This window comes from Homo sapiens, chromosome 2, assembly GCF_000001405.40.
Source record: "Homo sapiens chromosome 2, GRCh38.p14 Primary Assembly".
In the NCBI taxonomy this organism is placed as follows: Eukaryota; Metazoa; Chordata; class Mammalia; order Primates; family Hominidae; genus Homo; species Homo sapiens.
Genome location: NC_000002.12, coordinates 177,425,570 through 177,445,291, shown reverse-complemented (window position 1 = coordinate 177,445,291; position 19,722 = coordinate 177,425,570). Strand labels below are relative to the sequence as shown.

The following is a 19,722-nucleotide window of genomic DNA, read 5'->3' as shown; positions in this document are numbered from 1 at the left end:
TTCCTTCTCTTACCTTAGGCAAATTATTTAACTGTCTAAGCTTATTGTTTCCTCATTTGTAAAATGTAAAATAGTAATAATACATAAAGTGTTGGCTACAATAATTAAATGAGGTACTCCATGTAAAAAAACAGCATATACAGGTCCTGGCATTGTGCAAATACTATCTGCACTGTGTTAACATAGCAATCACTATCTAATTTAAGAATATCAGAATATGACCATAAGATTAGAAAAAACAATCTGCAAGGACATTTGAATATAGCAGATGGCATCCCTACTTTATTTTTAATTCAAAACAGGGCCAGAGACCCCATGTACAAAACAAAGCAAATCCCTGCCTCGGGCTCAAAAGAAGGAACTAAATTTCATCTGGCTCAACTTACCAAACGTATGACTGCCAATAAAAAATGTTATTTGGCATTCTTATTTGACCTAACTTTTATATACATATATGAATTTTCATGAATTACTTTCTACTATTAAGAGCAGACTTCTTTCCCCTTTCTATCTGGCTGAGCAATTGGGTAACATATAGAACCTTCTTCTGGATCCCAGGGAAGCTTTCTTTCTACTTTCATATGCTCAATTTCACGGCAATAACTAACATAGATAAATCTACTTAATAATAAAAAGGAAAGAGCACAACAGACAATACAAAATACAATACAAAAATAGCAGTTGCTGCCTACATTCCAAATCTGAACACATACAAATAACTGCACTGCTTAATTCACAGCGTTGTGAAAAACATTAAATAAGATGATGTATGTGAATGCACTTTTAGTTTTATGTTACATAAAACTCATAATTATACTCTCACTATAAGACAGTAGTAATTTCTTTCTTTCTTTTTTTTTTTTTTTTTTTTGAGACAGAGTCTTGCTCTGTCACCCAGGCTGGAGTGCAGTGGCATGATCTTGGCTCACTGCAACCTCTGCCTCCTGGGTTCAAGCAATTCTCCTGCCTCAGCCTCCTGAGTAGCTGGGTTTACAGGCACACGCCACCACACATGGCTAATTTTTGTATTTTTAGTAGGGACAGGGTTTCACCACATTGGCCAGGCTGGTCTAGAACTCCTGGCCTCAGATGATCTGCCCACCTCAGCCTCCCAAAGTGCTGGGATTACAGGCGTGAGCCACCACGCCTGGCTGACAACAGTAACTTCAATACAACTATGGTATAATCAGGCTTTTGGTCCTTTGGCAGCTAAACAAAAGACAGTATTATTAAATTGCAGAATGAAAAGACAAAGAATTTATTGATCTGATGGTACCTTATATATATATCTTCTCCCCCAACAGACTGGCCCTTGAGGCAATTACATACTCATTCTAAATATATACCTTGTAGCTACCAAGAGTTCAAACATATCTTTTGGTAGAAAAAGGAAATTAAAAGAAGCAGAAAAAACTTCATAGGCACTCACAGAAAAACCTAAAGAAAACATATAGGCTACCCTATTACATCCCATATATACTACCAAACCCATGTTAACATTCCAGAACAGGCTATTCTTCAGCTATCTTCTGAGGAAATAAATTGCCTTTTCTTAAAATCTGGGATAAGGAGATAGGTTAATGGGGAACCTTACAATAAAATAAAGTGTTCACCATCTGAACTTGATCAATTTTAGCATCACTAAAAGTGAGACAATCAGCTACTACACACCTCTATTGATGTTATGTGACATTTTTTTAAAAGCACATTACCATCTATGAGGGATTCTTGCTGTAAAAACAAAACCAAAAAAAGGCAATGCCTGAATCTAACTAGACTTTATATGGAACTTCTAATTTAGTGGACATACAGGGCTTAGATAAAGAGTTAAATGACAAGAAGCAGCAACAGATAAATTCAAAATATGACATTCTATACTACAAATAACCTTGTTTCTTCAAAAGTCTATAACATTCAAAAGAAAAAAACAGGGAGTAAGATGAAGCTTTTACATAAAGTGAGACTTAAGAGCTACAATGGAAAGCAAATGTGAGCCTTGTCTGGATCCCCATTTGAACAAATGAACTATAAAACAGACACTTTTTATCAAAAATTTAATGTAGACTAACTACTAAATAACATAAAGAATTACTTTTGATTTTGCCAGGAGTGATAATAATAGTTATGTGAGAAAATGTCCTTTTTAAACGAGATTATACAGAAATATTTACATGTAAAGTAGCATTGTATCAGAATTTGCTCTAAAACTACTAGAAAAAAAAGAAAGATAAAGAAAGTATGACAAAATGTTAATAACGACTTCATCTAAAAAATGGGTAAACTATTCTCTCTACTTAGGTATTTGAAAAAAAAATTCAAATTTGGTAAAATAGCCATCAACATATATACCTGAGGGTAAAAGTAAACCTACCTTTTGGAGAACTGAATACAAGGGTAAAATGTAATGATGAAATACATTTAAAACAAAATGGATATTAGATTCTTTTTTTTTTTTTTTTTTTTGTCACCCAGGCTGGAGTGCAGTGGTGTGATCTTGGCTCACTGCAACCTCCACCTCCTGGGTTCAAGCGAGTCTTATGTCTCAGCCTCCCAAGTAGCTGGGATTACAGGCACACACCACCACACTCGGTTAATTTTTGTATTTTTAGTAGAGATGAGGTTTTGCTATGTTGGCCTGGCTGGTCTCGAACTCCCGACCTCAAGTGATCCACCCACCTCAGCCTCCCCAGGTGCTGGGATTACAAGCGTGAGCCACAGCGCCCAGTGGCTAGATTCTTTTTTAATGACAATTAAGGTGGAGCCAATAAAGAAAATGTTTTAAATATATCTCAAATTATTAAATACCATTTGTGAAGTGTCCAAAGAAATAATTGTTCTTGTCTCATCTGCAGGACACATCAGGCCATATGAAACACTTGTTCCTCCTGCCAAAATAGGAAACAACAACTTTTATGTTTAAATATTCTGTTTTTAGCTATATTTCTATGGCAAATCCCTCATATCAAGTATACAGATAGGGCCACTAGAAAAGTGATACCTATTAATACTTTGCAAAATACAACTTGCAAATGCTAACACACTAAAAGCAAACTCACCTTTATTTTATGCTGAGTGCCAAAATGAAGCAATATTACGGAACTGAAAGCAATGGGCTATGGTTCCATCCCCTGGAAATGCCACACTCAAGTGAAGCCCCTAGCAATTTGTGGAACTCCAAAAACATGATTAGAAAAGTTCTAAGCAGATAATTACCATGGAGAGGTAGCTTAAAAGAAAAAAAGACCCATCCTATACAACTAGAGACATCATTACTTCCTTTTTACCACAATTATGAGATTCATTTATCATTTAAAATAATCTTATATTCTTATACAAAAAAGCTTTAATAAATTAGAATAGAAACAAGCTTAAAATGTCTAGATTATGAGGTATTTAAAAACATTTATATGTTCTTTGGTGAAAAAGTGATTTTAATATAGAATAATACATAGAAGTATTTAAACACACTGTTGTCTTAACATTTACTGTCAAAGGAAAAATGCCTTCTTGATACCATTAAAGAACAAAACAATGTTCTCTGTTCTTAACCAGATCTAAATCACCATATATCGAATAAATTCTTGACTGATACTTCCATAAGTTCTGCATGAAAGAAAACATGTGAAAGTCACCTTCCACAAGAAGTACAGGGGGTGTTAATCTGTAAGGTTCAGCGTAATTTTACAAAGTGAGTTCATGAACTGTTGGTTAAGAACGTGATGCCTGTGATCAGTAACCACTATTTGCTTGTCACAGTCATTTGGAATTAGAAAAATATTTCATAATAAATGGCATTTTAGTGCCTTTTTTGCATAAATTCAACAGAAAGCATCAGCTGAAGAGGGAATATGGAGCTTCTAGAATTGTTGGGAGTCTTATTACCATTCCTATGCTAATCTCAAAGGTTTATATAGGACATATTTATATTTAGCTTTTGAAAAAGAAAATTCTCTCCATAAATATACAGGTTAAAAAGTAATTACTAAAGCAGAAACATTTTGTTATTCAGGCATTAAATTACAGCTTCAACTAGGGCCCATAGAGGAAAAAGCCATGAACTAAGGTATACCATGTCTCAAACAGTTTAAGGAATCCTACTTAGAACAAAAATGAGCATCATTGACCAATTTTTGAGAATAACCACATCACAATTACAATAATGTTTGTTTTCAGTAGGGTGACGCAAATATTTAAAATACAAATATTTTAAATAGAACAAATTTACATATTAAAATTCAAAAGGCACAATACCTACCACCAATTGGTATGATACAAAGATTATATTTGCAAGCTAGATTCACAATCTTAACTACATCATCATGGCATGCTGTTGAAAAAAGGGAAAATAAATTAATTACAGAGGCATAAATAAAATCTGATAACCTTGGCAAATAAGAACCTACGAAATTCTTTATCTAAACTTTTCCTTCATTCATTTGCTCATTAACACAATGAGTTAATTGAGTACTAAAACACTTTACCTTTTTAACTTTTCATTTTGAAATAATTTGACTTACAAAAAAGTTACAAAGATAGTACGAAAATTTTCCTTCATCTCACATCCCCAAATACTAACATCTTATGTAGCTACAGTCCAATTTCAAAACCAAGCAATCAACACTGATACAATACAATAAACTAATCTACAGACCTTATTCAAATACTTCCAATTGTCCTACTAATGTCCTCTTTTCTGGACCAGAATCAACTCCAGGATCACACCCTGCATTTAGTTGCCTTGTGTCTTCTTTAAAAATAGGCATTTCCTTAGAGTATCTTTAACTTTCATGACCATGACAGTTTTGAAGAACAATGGTCAGTTATTTCATAGAATGCCCCTCAATTTGGGTTTGTAGATGTTTCCTCATGATTAAGTTCAGGTTATATATTTTGGGAGTAATTCCACAGAAGTGATGTTGCATCTTTGTCAGTGCATTACATCTAGAGGCACATGATATGAACATGTCTCATTTCCAGTAATGTTAACTTATTAATACAGCATTTGGTTAGGCCGTGTTACTAGGTTTCCCCACTATAAGGATACTCTGTTTCTTGTCAAAATTAATAGGTATTAATTGTTCAAATACCTATTATTTAAATACCTATTAATTTCAACAAGAAACACAGTATCCTTATAGTGGGAAAACCTAGTGACACAGTATTTACATATCTTAGACTATGTAAAATATCATGATTCTCATCATACTTTCACCTACTAATTTTAGCACCATTGATGATTTATTGTTTAAACAAATGTTTACAATATTGCACAAAATACACTGCACATAATTCCTTTCCTTTGTACAGAACTAAAGGGTTCTCTTTATGCTTGTAAAAGTTATACAAGTAACAAAAACCTGACTGGAAGATTTTAAATGCCAAGCAAGAGGTGCTAAGACTCAACTTGACTGGCAATAGGACATTAGTGGAGGTTCTTAAGGAGGGGAACAAGATGGCAAAGAGATTGTTTTAGAAAAGTCAATCTCCTGATATAATAAGAGATGGCATGGAGGAGCGAGACTTGAGGCAAGAAAACTATGCAAAACTCCAGTATTAGTTGCTAAGAGCCTAAGGACTTAGTAGGAAATAAGAATGCTGAGGAAAGCAAATGAATATCCATTTATGAAAGCAAAAATAGTTCCATAAAAGTTGCAATTATCTTTTCTAAGGTTTGTGTAAAGCTAAGAAAACATGTCATTTGTTTCATTCCGATTTTTAATAAATATCTATTTTCAAGCTTTTGGATTAAACTTATAAAGCTTGCTATCTGTGGTAAATTTACTAAATAGAATACTCATTAATTAATAATTCACAAAACACCCAAAGATGTCTATTAAAAAATCTTCAACAAGGCAAAATTATCTTCTAGGAATGTCACCTAATCAAAAGCCTTCCTTAACCATGTTATCTGAAACTGCACCCCCATTCCACTACACATCCTTGTTCGCACTACCCTCTTACATGCTTTTCTTTTCTTTACAGCACTTAACACTACCCAATATGTTACATATTTACTTGTGGATTATCTGTTTCCCCTCGGTAAATTGTATGGCACTTGAGAGCACGGATTTTTGTTTTATTCACTGCTTATCCTCAACTACCTAGCCTGTATTTTCACAGTTCTAAAGTTCTGGTGTTTAAGCCACTGAAAATAATGCATAAATACTAAATTTAATAAGTGAAGTAATTGTCCTTACTCTTAAGCCCTAAGCATCCTATTAAGCAACACATAGAATTCCGATTCAGATCAAAGCCAGACTTAAAGACAACTACAACAGATTTCCAGTTGTGTGTGTGTGTGTGTGTGTATTGCAAGAATGAGACAGCCACATCCACTCTATGGAATACCACATTGCCTCAAATTTCTTCATTGTCTCAAAACTAGGCCTCCTGCAAAGAAAAACTTGGACTTCATCGCCAGTAGGAAATTCACATTAAAATTAAATAAAGACCTCAGTGACTTAATAACTTGTCGGGAAACTATTTCCAAAGAAGTCATTATACTAGGATATTGAACAGAATAAAATTATAAACTTGATTCAGCCAGGAATACACCATTCATACAGATTCTTGAAGTATGGAAGAAGTTGGCAAAAGGATTATTGAATTAATCTCCCAACGGTGTATGGGAGGCTTAAGGGGCAAGAAACATGCGGCATGAAAACCCTTATGGCTTCACAAAAACCTGGATATACACTGAGAAGGAACTGATTTGGAAACTGGGATGAAAAAAAGTGGAAGAGCAAAGGTGCAAGGGAACCAATAAAATGGGAGGGATTTTACAAAGCAAAGAAACTTTTGTGAAATATTGTTTACTACATCTGAGTTTTTGAGAATATTTGGATTTCTTAAAGCAAAATATACTTCCACTATATTATTCTGTTTTTGTTTTTGTTTTTGTTTTTTAAGACATGAGGGACTCACTAGTCCAGGCTAGACTCGAACTTCAGGCAAGTAATCCTCCTGCGTCATCATTCTGAGTAACGGGGACTACAGGCATGCACTGCCAAGCCCAACTCTCTAAGTATTTTAATATTGAAAGACATGAAGAAAATGCCTAGAAGGTACACTTGGAAGTTCTTATTAAGATACATCAAAGGATGGCCTATTAGGTTTCTTGTGGGAAGTGAAAATTGATAAATTTTGCTTTCATGTTTTCCAGTAATAAATGGAATAAACCTTCTCCAAATCTTGGTAGAGAAGTAACCTAAAGCTACTAAAAAGCAAGGAAGCAAAACAAAAATATTTCTTCTATTGGAGAATATCTTTTCCTCAGGAACAGTTAAAATTTCTATACTAAACTAATAGAGATGAAAGACATTTCATAAATATTCCAAATGCATAGACTAATATACAAGTATCAGGAAAGTAACTTCATCTCTGCTACATATGCTCTTGGATTTTCCTTCTGTGTATCTCACCTGCCTCTTGCCCCCACATTAAAGTATAATTTTTCTCTCAGTCCCTCCAAAGTAGAAGGATCTCATTTAAGAACTGAGAGTCCGTGAATGAGCCAATTTATTAAAAAATAAAATATACACTCTGAAAAGGAAGATCTGAAGAGAAAATGAATCAGAAGATCAATAGAACTCTTTAAAAAATGCAATAATGGACAGCAAGGAACAATATACCCATCTTGCTTTAAATTACCTGCTAAAAGAGATAGGTAAAAACTTCAGATTTATAAATATAGTACCTACTACTCACTAAGAGCAAAATTACAACAGAAAGCTCATCCATCCCCTGTCCCAGCCAAATCCTAATAATTACTCAAAATTTAATTATTCATTTTAAACATAGCATGCATAAACATAATACATAAAACTTGTTTGACCAGGCTTTTTAAAGCTCACAAGCTGATATCAACAAATTATTACTAATATTAGTTTGCAGTACTCAATTATATTAATAATTCTATATATCTGAATGTATTACTGACACTAATTTCATGAAGCTTCCAAATTATCCAAAAATATGTTTTTCCACTGACATCTCAAATATGATTATTTACATTTAAAATGATGATTTAATTATCAGCAACAAAATGAATTGTTAAAACCAATAGTTCAGAACAACCAAGTCAAGAAAGAGCTTCAAGACTGTTATGTAAACTCTCTTAAAAATACAGCAATTTATATTTTTTACAACTCATATGCCAAAAAGTACGTATTTCCAATGTTAAATTTACCTAAAATTTAGCAATACTAAATTAATGATACGAGGAGGGGAAAACTTACTTGGCCATAAAACTATATCAGGAATTCGCTCAAACATTCCTTCCCTGAGCAAAAATATCTCATGAAGACAATGACCTGTTTTGTGGTTAAAAAAAAGAAAAACACAAAAACAGCTTAAAATATAGAATTTTTTTGTTAAAAATAAATAGGGCTAATATAAAGTAACTTACCATGAGCTCTAAATACTCGATCATCTGCCTCTTGTGAATATGAAATATTAGTTTCTTTAAGGTCATGAAGAAAATCTTCATTTACAACAGAAGGAGGTGTATCACTAGGATTTAAGGATGCCTAGAAAATAAAATTGATTTCTTTGACTTATTTTTAGACAACGAATTTTGGGTACTTCAGTTAGAGAGAATGACTATAAAATGTAGACTTTTTTTTAAACATTCAAAGTAAGGCTGAAGCATAGGAAAATACAACACAACATATATAGAAATCAGCTTTATGAGAGTAACAAATTACAAATTTCTAAAGATTGTAATCAACAGGGAAGACAGCAAAGTATTAAATCTTCCATTTCAGATTAAGGAGACTGGGAGAAAGCTACTTGACTTTCGCACTATCTACACTTATACCTGTCGATAAAATTTAGCATTTCTGGCCGGGTGCAGTGGCTCACGCCTGTAATCCCAGCACTTTCGGAGGCCAAGAAGGGCAGATCACGAGGTCAGGAGATTGAGACCATCCTGGCTAACATGGTGAAACCTCGCCTCTACTAAAAATACAAAAATTAGCCGGGCGTGGTGGCGGGCGCCTGTAGTCCCAGCTACTTGGGAGGCTGAGGCAGGAGAATGGCATGAACCCGGGAGGCAGAGCTTGCAGTGAGCCGAGATTGTACCACGGCACTCCAGAGCGACAGAGCTCTGGGAGACAGAGCGAGACTCTGTCGCAAAAAAAAAAAAAAAAAAATTCAGCATTTCTTATTCTTCAATTGCCATTTTAAAGTGATCAACAGAAAGCCTCAAAATAAGTAATAAATCCATTTTTATAGAGCTGCTTTAAAACTCACAACATAATTATAAACTTGATATTCAATTTCACCTAACAGGTAACTTGAAATCTAATCTTCAACTTCAAAGTTAAAACTATGAGACATTGGGCATGTCACCCAACTTCTGTGAGCCTTGGCTTCTTCATCTGTTAAATGACATTGTCACCATAGTGCTACTATAAGGAAGGCAGGTTAAATGTGATAATTTTTGTGAAAAGCACCTAATAGCATGGCTAGAATATAGGAAGAAGTCTATAAACGGCTGGCCAAGTAAAATCTGCTACGGGGGATTGAGGGAAGCTATCATACAGTATTTGGAAAAAAGAAAGTATATAAGAATATGCAAAGAACAAATATGATACTTGCATATTATCTTAATCTCTTATTAAGATACTGCATAATAAATACTTACTGAGTGGCTGCTATAAGCTAGCCACTCTTCAAGGTCTTGATACAACAGTGAGTTAAACAGAAAAAAAAATTTTGACCCTGTGCAATTTATCCCATAGGAGAAGGAAATACTAAAAGAACTCCAACAAAATATATTAATATTTTAAGTCATTAAGAATTGAAAAGGGCTCAAAACCTGGTGAAATTTCTAACTATAGTATGTGGATTGTATCAATGTCAAAAACAAGTAATTGCAAATAGTCAAGAGATCAAAAGAGAGAGAGAATTTAAGAGATAAGAGACGTCTAGGAAAAGTTAAAAGATGGCTTGGAAGGGGTAGAATTAGTTGTTCAGCCTAACTTAATAACTAGAGTAAAATAACTGTGGATTTTTAAATAAACCCAACAAGTACTCACCAAATACCTATACCACTTAACAACAAGTTGGATACAGTGGAGAATATTGTATAAGACATAGCCCTGTACTTATGGAACTTATATCCAGTTAGAGAGACATACAGAATACTATGCTACAGCAAAATAATAATAAAAACACATCAAAAATAATAAAAAGAAATGCAACAATAATAAAAACACAACAAAAATAATAAAAAGAAACGCTAAATATTTCATTAGTTTCATACATATATATATATATATATATATATATACCTACAGTTTAAAGTTTCCTAATCCCACTTTCAGAAAAGTGAAACTACATGAACAAACTAAAATCCTCAATCACTCATATCTTAATCAAATTTTTACTTTTTATAATTCTTCAAATATTCTAAATATCCTAATACTAAATGTGATTTTACATTTTTATTTTAAATTATTCTCTATTAATCCTAGATTACAGTCAGTCTATTAAATAATCTAAACATGATAGCAACTTATATTTCTGTAACAAAGCACTCTTTAAGGAAGTAAATAATCTGCACTTCACTACTACCCTGTGATAGGCAGAACAAATAGTTATTACTCCCAATTCTAAAAATAACCAAGGCTCAGAGAGGATAAAAAGTTTGCCAGATAAATCTCAAATAAATTCTGAGACTAAGGTCTATATCTGTGACAATGAATAACTGCCGCTAACAGTCTAACAAGGCCAATATAATTAATAGGCTTTATAACAAAAAACATGACAGTTGCAGTAAATCCAATATAATGAATTACAAAGATAAATCAAATTAATTTGGGTTTTAAAAACACAGTTAAATGAGTTAGTAATAATTTTTGTTTGCTTACTTTAGAGGTAGTTTTATGCTCCACATTTACTCCAAGGGTATTTTGGATCCATTCTTTAAATGTTGGTAAACCCATGCCACTAAGAGGGTACCTAAGGTACAAAGAAAGTAAAAATATTAGAGCAAAGTATCTTCATTTAAATTTAAAGCTTAAATTCTGCTTCCAGTGATGGTCAAGCAGCTACTATCAAACCAACACTTTCACATGTAACTATAAACTCTGAACGAAAACAAAACAAACAAAACCCAGCTATCTAAAGGCAGTATAGACAGACCAAAAGCAGTCAAAAATAGGGGAGAAGGGTGTGCTACACTTGAAAAAAGGAAAAAATACTACATAAGTTCATAAGTTTCCAGTTTGGTTTTGTTTTTTCCATAAGTTTTAGCCTTATGGCAGGCCCCAGCTGGTGCCTCAAAAGGTAATAAAAATGCTGAAAATTTACAGTCTTCCTGGCTTAAAGAACCAGAGCACAGTGTTTGGGGTGAATGCTGCATCTGGAAAGCATACCGAGAAATCACAGAAAGAAGCAAGTAAGAGAGGAACCAATCTATCAGCTCTCTCCAAATGTCTGGCTGACTCTGAATAGCATGTATAGAATACATACTGGAATCTTCTAGGCAGCCCAGTTAAGCTTAAAAAAAAACTGGACAGGCAATTCAGCTGCTCACCACAGGGAGACAGAATTTAGAGTTTCAGATCAGTCAAGTTAATTGCTTGATTTAAGAAAAAAAAAGTCTTTTAAAGGTCTCTTCAGAGGAATATAACAGAATCCACAGCTCCTACATCATATCATGTACAATGTCCAAAACACACTCCAATATTACTAGACAAGAACAAACTGGAAAGTATGACTCATATTCAAGAAAAAGGACAATTAATGATGACTGACCCCAAAATGACCCAAGATACTGGAAGTAGCACACAAGGGTTTTAAAGCAGCTATTGTTGCTACGCCAATGGACAAAATGGAAAATGTACTCCTGGTGAATATTAGAAAAAAAATCTTAGCAGAGAAATAAAAAACTATAAAAAAGAACACAACAGAAATTCTATAATTGAATCTGAGACATTCCATTGGCATCTCATTACAATTTTAATTTGAATTTTACTGAGTACTTATGAAATTGAGCATCTATTCCTATAACTATTGTCCATTTGGATATCCTCCATTTTGAAAGCCAGTTCAAGTCTTTTGCTCATTTTCCTCCTGGGTTATTGTTTTCTCAATTACATGTAAGAAATCTTTATATATTTATAAAATGAAAGATACACATATTAGACATTTTCTCTTACTCTGTGATTTATCCTTTCACTCTCTTAAAGGAGTCCTGTAGTTTGGACACCAAACCCTCCAGACCTCATGTTGAAATTTGATCCCCTAGTGGGAGGTGGTTGGGTCATGGACGTATATCTTTATGAATAGATTAATGCCCTGGGGGAAGGGAGAGAAGTGTGAGTGAGTTGTTAGTTCCCTCAAGAGCTGGTTGTTTAAAAAGAGCCTGGCACCTCCCTACCATCTCTCTCTTGCTTTCAGTTTCACCATGTGATCTCAGCACATACCAGCTCCCCTTCCCCTTCTGCAGGACTGGAAGCAGCTTGAGGTCCTCACCAGAAGCAGACCCTGATGCCATGTTTCTTGCACAGCCTACAGAACCATGAGCCAAATAAACCTCTATTCTTTATTAATTACCCAGTCTCAGGTATTCCCATAAAATAAAAAGGTGACCACCTTCAAGATACTTGAAACTACAGATACAGAGTTAGTGTTACTATCATGTATAAAATTTAAAACTACCTTCTATCACTAAAATAAAGTCTTTATATCTCTATATCTGAATGCACAATATTTATTTAACACTCAGAAGACTGTACTTAGCATTGCAGAATACATGGAATTGGTATTATGACTCCTGTTTTTAAGAAACTTGCAACCTAGCTTAGTCAAAGCTACAGCAACATTTAATTTGTGAGATGAACACATGGGCAGAGAACATGAAACTTTAACCAGAGATGTGATAAAGGGAAAGTTAAGCACTTATACCAATTGTTGAATCACAGTGACTACTGAATGGATCTTCTTCTTTTCCATGACTGAAGATTAGTTTGAGAATATTAAATGGCTTTTGTTGTAAAATATAAGGTGAGATCAATTTATCACTTTCCCATAGGGCTGAAATAGACTATATTATAGAAGATACAGAACCAGAACAAGTTTTCAAGGCCAATGAAATCATTCTACATGGAAAGAAAAAATTCTGTGGACAAAAATTATCCAAGAGGGAAGTGCACATCAGGACTGACAATGACTAAAAGCAAAGTGACTCTCACTCTGGGGCAGCACATAAGAAGCAGCAAAAATATTAGTATATGTTGTGGGAAGTCAGGGACCCCGAACAGAGGGACCGGCTGGAGCCATGGCAGAGGAACACAAATTGTGAAGATTTCATGGTCATTTATCAGTTCCCAAAATTAATACTCTTATAATTTCTTATGCCTGCCTTTAATCTCTTAATCCTGTTATCTTCATAAGCTGAGAATGTAGGTCACCTCAGGACCACTATTGTACAAATTGACTGTAAAACATGTGTGTTTGAACAATATGAAATCAGAGCACCTTGAAAACGAACAGAATAACAGCAATTTTAAGGAACAAGGGAACACAACCAAAGGTCTGACTGCCTGCGGGGTCAGGCACAATAGAGCCATATTTTTCTTCTTGCAGAGAGCCTATAAAAGGACGTGAAAGCAGGAGAGATATCGCTGAATTATTTTCCCAGCAAGGAATATTAATAATTAATACCCTGGGGAGGGAATGCATTCCTGGGGGGACGTCTATAAACAGCTGCTCTGGAAGTGTCTGTCTCATGCAGTTGAGATAAGGACTGAAATTACGCCCTGTTCTCCTGCATTACCCTCTGGCTTATTAGGGTGGGGAAAAGATCCCGCTCTGGTAAATTTGAGGTCAGACCGGTTCTCTGCTCTCGAACCCTGTTTTCTGTTGTTTAAGATGTTTATCAAGACAATACGTGCACAGCCGAACACAGACCCTCATCAGTCATTCTAATTTTGCCCTTTGCCTTGTGATCTTTACTTTGCCCTTTGCCTTGTGATCTTTATTGCCCTTTGAAGCATGTGATCTTTGTGACCTACTCCCTGTTTGTACACCCCCTCCCCTTTTGAAATCCCTAATAAAAACTTGCTGGTTTTGTAGCTCAGGGGGCATTATGGACCTACCGATAATGTGGTATCACCCCCGGCGGCCCAGCTGTAAAATTCCTCTCTTTGTACTCTTTCTGTTTATTTCTCAGACCAGCCGACACTTAGGGAAAATAGAACCTATGTTGAAATACTGGGGGTGGGTTCCCCTGATAAGTATATACAATCATCTAGCCTCAGGGTGAGTTCCACAATTGCTAAGCAATTTAACAGCCTTTTTATAATCAGATAAAGCTTCAATTAAAAATTATGCCATCAAAAAGACAAAGTCTAACAAACTCAAATTTTTCATTTATATACTAACTTGTGATTTCTAAGTACCAAACTAATGTATAATACCCATAAAGTCAAAAATAGTGACATTTTTCAAAAATTTTAGTTTATAGAAATCTATAGGGACTGAGATGGCTGATTAGAAGCAGCTGTGATCCGCAGCTGTCATGGAGAAGAATGAAAATAGCAACTGAATTCAGCACCTTCAACTAAAATATCCACGTTCTCACATCAGGACTGACTAGGCAGACAGCTGGACCCATGGAGAACAAAGAAAAGGAGGGTGGGGTGATGATCCAAGTGGGAGAAGCATGGAGCCAAAAGAACCCCCACCCCCAGCCAAGCAGAGCAGTGAGAGATTGTGCAACCCCACCAGGGAAACCACACTTCTCCCACTCCATATTTGTAACCTGTGGATCAGGAGATCCCCTCATGACCCCACACCACCAGGGCCTTGGGTTCAATACACAGAGCCGTGTCTCAAAAGAACAGTCACTCAGGCTCGCACAGTAACCCAGGAGTTTTACAGACTCCACCCTAGGAATCCCAGCAAGGTGGAAGATCCATCTGCTCACTCCCCTAGGAGGGGGACTGAATCCAGGGATCCAAGCAACATTGTTCTGCAGGCCACACTTCCACAGCACCTCACAAGTTAAGACCCACTGGCTTGGAATTCCAGCCAGCCAGTGCAACAATCTGGAGACTGCCTGAGATGGATGAGTTCCCTGAAGGAGGAGCAACCACCATTTCTGTGGTTAGGTTGACTCAGCTGTTCTAGCCTGCCAGCTCCAGGCAGTCCAGGTGGTCTGAATGAGAAGGAATCCCACACAATGCAACACAGCTGCTATGCCAGATTGTGGCCAGACTGCTTTTTTTTAAGTGGGACCCCAATCCATTGCTCCTCATTGGGTGGGGACTCCCTGTGGGAATTTCAGCAACTCCAGACAGGGTGACACAGACAGAACTCTGATCTCTCCCTGGGACAGAGCCCCTTGGGGGAGACACAGCCGATGTCTCTGCAGTTCAGTTGACTCAGCCTTTCCAGCCTGCTGGCTCTGAAGAGTCCAGGCAGTCTGGACATGAAAGGGTTATCCCCAACATGGCACAGCTGCTCCACCAAAACCCAGCCATCCTGTTCCTCCTGACTGTGTCAGAGCTCCCAACAGGGGTCTCCAGACACCCTATGGGAGCATCCAGGCCAGCAACAGGTCACTACCCACCCTGGGACGGAGCTCCCAGAGGAAAAAGCAGGCTGCCATCTTTGCTGTTTCACAGCCTCCACTGGTGATACCTCCAGGTCTGGGAAAAATGAGGCAAATAGGGTCACGAGCAATCCCCAAACAAACCACAGCAGCCCTACGAAAAAGTGGCCTGTTAAAAGAAAAACAAACAAACAGAAAGCAACAACAACAGCATCAAAAAAAAGACCACACAAAAATCCCACTCAAAGGTCAGCAACCTCAAAAAATTGAAGCTAGATAATCCCACAAAGATGAGAAAGAATCAATGCAAAAATACTGAAAACTCAAAAAGCCAGAGGGCCTCTTCTCCTCCAAATGACCACAATACCTCTCCAGCAAGGGCAGAGAACTGGGCTAAGGCTGAGATGGTTGAAATCACAGAAGTAGGCTTCAGATGGTGGGTAATAACGAACTTCGCTGAGCTAAAGGAACATGCTCTAACCCAATGCAAAAAAGCTAAGAATCATGATAAAACAATACAGGAGCTGAAAACCAGAAGAGCCAGTTTAGAGAGGAGCATAACTAATCTGATGCAGCTGAAAAACACAACACAAGAAATTCACAATGCAATCACAAGTATCAATAGCAGAATAGACCAAGTGGAGGAAAGAATCTCAAAGCTTGAAGACTATAGTCTTCAAGGCAGACAAGAATAGAGAAAAAAGAATGAAAAGAAATGAACAAAACCTCTGAGAAATGTGGGACTATGTAAAAAAGACTGAACCTATGACTGATTGGGGTACCCGAAAGAGATGGAGAGAATGGAACCAAGTTGGAAAACATACTTCAGAATATAATCCAGGAGAACTTCCCCAACCTAGCAAGACAGGCCAACATTCAAATGCAGGAAGTCCAGAGAACCCCAGTAAGATACTCCATGAGATCAACCCCAAGACACATAATCATCAGATTCTCAAAGGTTGAAAAGAGAGAAAAAATGTTATGGGTAGCCAGAGAGAAAGGCCAGGTCACCTACAAAGGGAAACCCATCAGACTAACAGCAGACCTCTCAGCAAAAACCCTACAGGCCAGAAGAGATTGGGGGCCAATATTCAACATTCTTAAAGAAAAGAATTTTCAACCTAGAATTTCATATCCAGCCAAACTAAGCTTCATAAGCGAAGAAGAAGATCCTTTCCAGACAAGCAAATGCTGAGGGAATTCATCACCACCAGGCCTGCCTTGCAAGAGCTCCTGAAGAAAGCACTAAATATGAAAAAGAAAAATGGTTACCAGCCACTATAAAAACACACTGAAGTACACAGACCAGTGACACTATGAAGCAACCACATAAACAAGTATGCAAAATAACTACCTAGCATCATGATGACAGGATCAAATTCACACATAATAAAAACCTTAAATGTAAATGGGCTAAATGCCCGAATTAAAAGACACAGAATTGCAAGGTGGGTGAAGAGTCAAGACCCATTAGCATGCTGTCAAGAGACCCATGTAAAATGCAAAGACACACATGAACTCAAAAGAAAGGGATGGAGGAAAATTTACCAAGCAAATGCAAAACAGAAAAAAGCAGGTGTCGCAATCCTAGTTTCTGACAAAACAGACTTTAAACCAACAAAGACCAAAAAAGACAAAGAAGAGCATTACATAATGGTAAAGGGTTCAATTCAACAAGAAGAGCTAAATATCCTAAATATATATGTACCCAATAGAGGAGCACCCAGATCCATAAAGCAAATTATTAGAGACCTACAAAGAGACTTACACTCACACACAATAATAGTGAGAGGCTTTAACATCCCACTGACAATATTAGACAGATCACTGAGACAGAAAATTAAAAGATATTCAAAACCTGAACTCAGCTTTGGATCAAGCAGACTTGATAGACATCTACAGAACCCTCCACCCAAAAACAACAAAATATATATTTTTCTCATCGCCACAACACTTACTCTAAAATTGATCACGTAATCGGAATTAAAACACCCCCCAGCAAATGCAAAATAACTGAAATCATAACAGTCTCTCAGACCACAACACAATCAGGTTAGAATCAAGACTAAAAAAATCACCCAAAACCATACAACTACATGGAAACTGAACAACCTGAATGACTCCTGGGTGAAATTAAGGCAGAAATCAAGAAGTTATTTGAAACTAATGAAAACAAAGAAACAAAGTACCAGAATCTCTGGGGTGCAGCTAAAGCAGTGTTAAGAGGAAAATTTCTAGCACTAAAATGCCCACATCAAAAACCTAGAAAGATCTCAAATTAACAACCTAACATGACAACTAAAAGAACTAGAGAACCAAGAACAAACTCCAAAGGTAGCAGAACACAAGAAATAACCAAGATCAGAGCAGAACTAAAGAAGATAGAGATGTGAAAAACCCTTCAAAAAGCCAATGAATCCAGGAGCTGGTTTTTTGAAAAAATAAATAGGCAGACTGCTAGCTAGACTAATAAAGAAGAAAAGAGAGAAGAATCAGACACCATCAAAAATGATAAGGGGGATACCACCACTGACACTACAGAAATACAAACAATCATCAAAGAATACTATCAACATCTCTATGCACATGAACTAGAAAATCTAGAAAAAAGTGGATAAGTTCCTGGACATATACACCCTCCCAAGATTGAACCAGGAAGAACCTGAATCCCTGAATAGACCAGTAATGAGTTCTGAAAATGAGACAGTAATAGCCTGCCAACCAAAAAGAGCCCAGGACCAGACAGATTTACAGCTGAATTCTACTAGAGGTACAAAGAAGAGCTGGTACCATTTCTACTGAAACTAAATTGAAAAGGAGGGACTGCTACCTAACTCCTTTTATGAGATCAGCATCATTTTGATACCAAAACCTGGCAGAGACACAACAACAAAAAAAGAAAACTTCAAGCCAATATCCCTGATGAACATCAATGCAAAAATCCTAAATAAAATACTGGCAAACTGAACCCAGCAATACATCAAAAAGCTTATCCACCACAATCAAGGTTGGTTCAACATATGCAAATCAATAAATGTAATTTATCACATAAACAGAACTAAAGACAAAAACCACATGATTATCTCAATGGACACAGAAAAGGCCTTAGATAAAATTCAGCATCTCTTCATGTTAAAAATTCAATAAAGTAAGGATTGAAGGACCATACTTCAAAATAATAAGAGCCATATATAACAAACTCATAGTCAATATTATACCAGAATGAGCAAAAGCTGGAAGCATTCTCCTCGAAAACCGGCATAAGACAAGGATGCTTTCTCTCACCACTACTTTCAACATAGTATTGGAAGTTCTGGCCAGGGCAACCAGGCAAGAGAAAGAAATAAAGAAAATTCAAATAGGAAGAGAGGAAGTCAAACTGTTTCTGTTTGCAGATGACATGATCCTGTATCTAGAAAACCCCACCATCTCAGCCCAAAAGCTTCTGAAGCTGATAAGCAACTTCAGCAAAGTCTCAGGATACAAAATCAATGTGCAAAAATCACTAGTATTCCTATACACCAACAACAGGCAAGAAGAGAGCCAAATCATGAATGAACTCCCATTCACAATTGCTACAAAGAGAATAAAACACCTATGAATACATCTAACAAGGGAAATGAAGGACCTCTTCAAGGACAACTACAAATCACTGCTCACGGAACTCAGAGAAGACACAAAGAAATGGAAAAACATTCTATGCTCATGGATAGGAAGAATCAATATTGTGAAAATGGCCATACTACCCAAAGTAATTTATAGATTCAATGCTATTCCCATTAAACTATCATTGACATTCTTCACAGAACTAGAAAAAACTATTTTAAAATTCATATGGAATCAAAAAAGAGCCTGTATAGCCAAGACAATCCTACACAAAAAGAACAAAGCTGGAGGCATCACACTACCCAAGTTCCAACTATACTACAAGCCTACAGTAACCAAAACATCATGGTACTGGCACAAAAACAGACACATAGACCAATGGAAAAGAATAGAGATCCCAGAAATAAGACTGCACACCTACAACCATCTGATCTTCAACAAACCTGACAAAAACAAGCAATGGGGAAAGGATTTCCTTTTTTTTTTTTTTTTTTTTTTCTAGGCAGAGTTTCACTCTTGTTGCCCAGGCTGGAGTGCAATGGCGTGATCTT

The 19,722-nt window shown here is 36.3% G+C and overlaps 1 protein-coding gene across 4 annotated transcripts in view, besides 1 other annotated feature; it reads right to left on the bottom strand.

Moving 5' to 3' along the window:
* The window catches only part of AGPS (alkylglycerone phosphate synthase), a 151,062-nt gene that overhangs the window by 98,543 nt on the left and 32,797 nt on the right, over positions 1-19,722 (bottom strand). For all 4 annotated transcript variants that reach the window (NM_003659.4, XM_047446105.1, XM_011512041.3 and 1 more), the window contains exons 3-7: positions 10,875-10,965; positions 8,408-8,528; positions 8,238-8,312; positions 4,256-4,327; positions 2,806-2,885 (exon numbers count right to left, since the gene is read on the bottom strand). In NM_003659.4, coding sequence (NP_003650.1) covers positions 2,806-2,885; positions 4,256-4,327; positions 8,238-8,312; positions 8,408-8,528; positions 10,875-10,965 — 439 coding nt within the window. The remainder of the gene's footprint in view (positions 1-2,805; positions 2,886-4,255; positions 4,328-8,237; positions 8,313-8,407; positions 8,529-10,874; positions 10,966-19,722) is intronic.
* Positions 13,605-13,805: a silencer, noted in NCBI's record as "peak3947 fragment used in MPRA reporter construct". NCBI's record gives its function as "represses an SCP1 promoter by STARR-seq MPRAs in K562 erythroleukemia cells {active_cell/tissue: K562}" and the evidence as "EXISTENCE:reporter gene assay evidence [ECO:0000049][PMID:32103011]".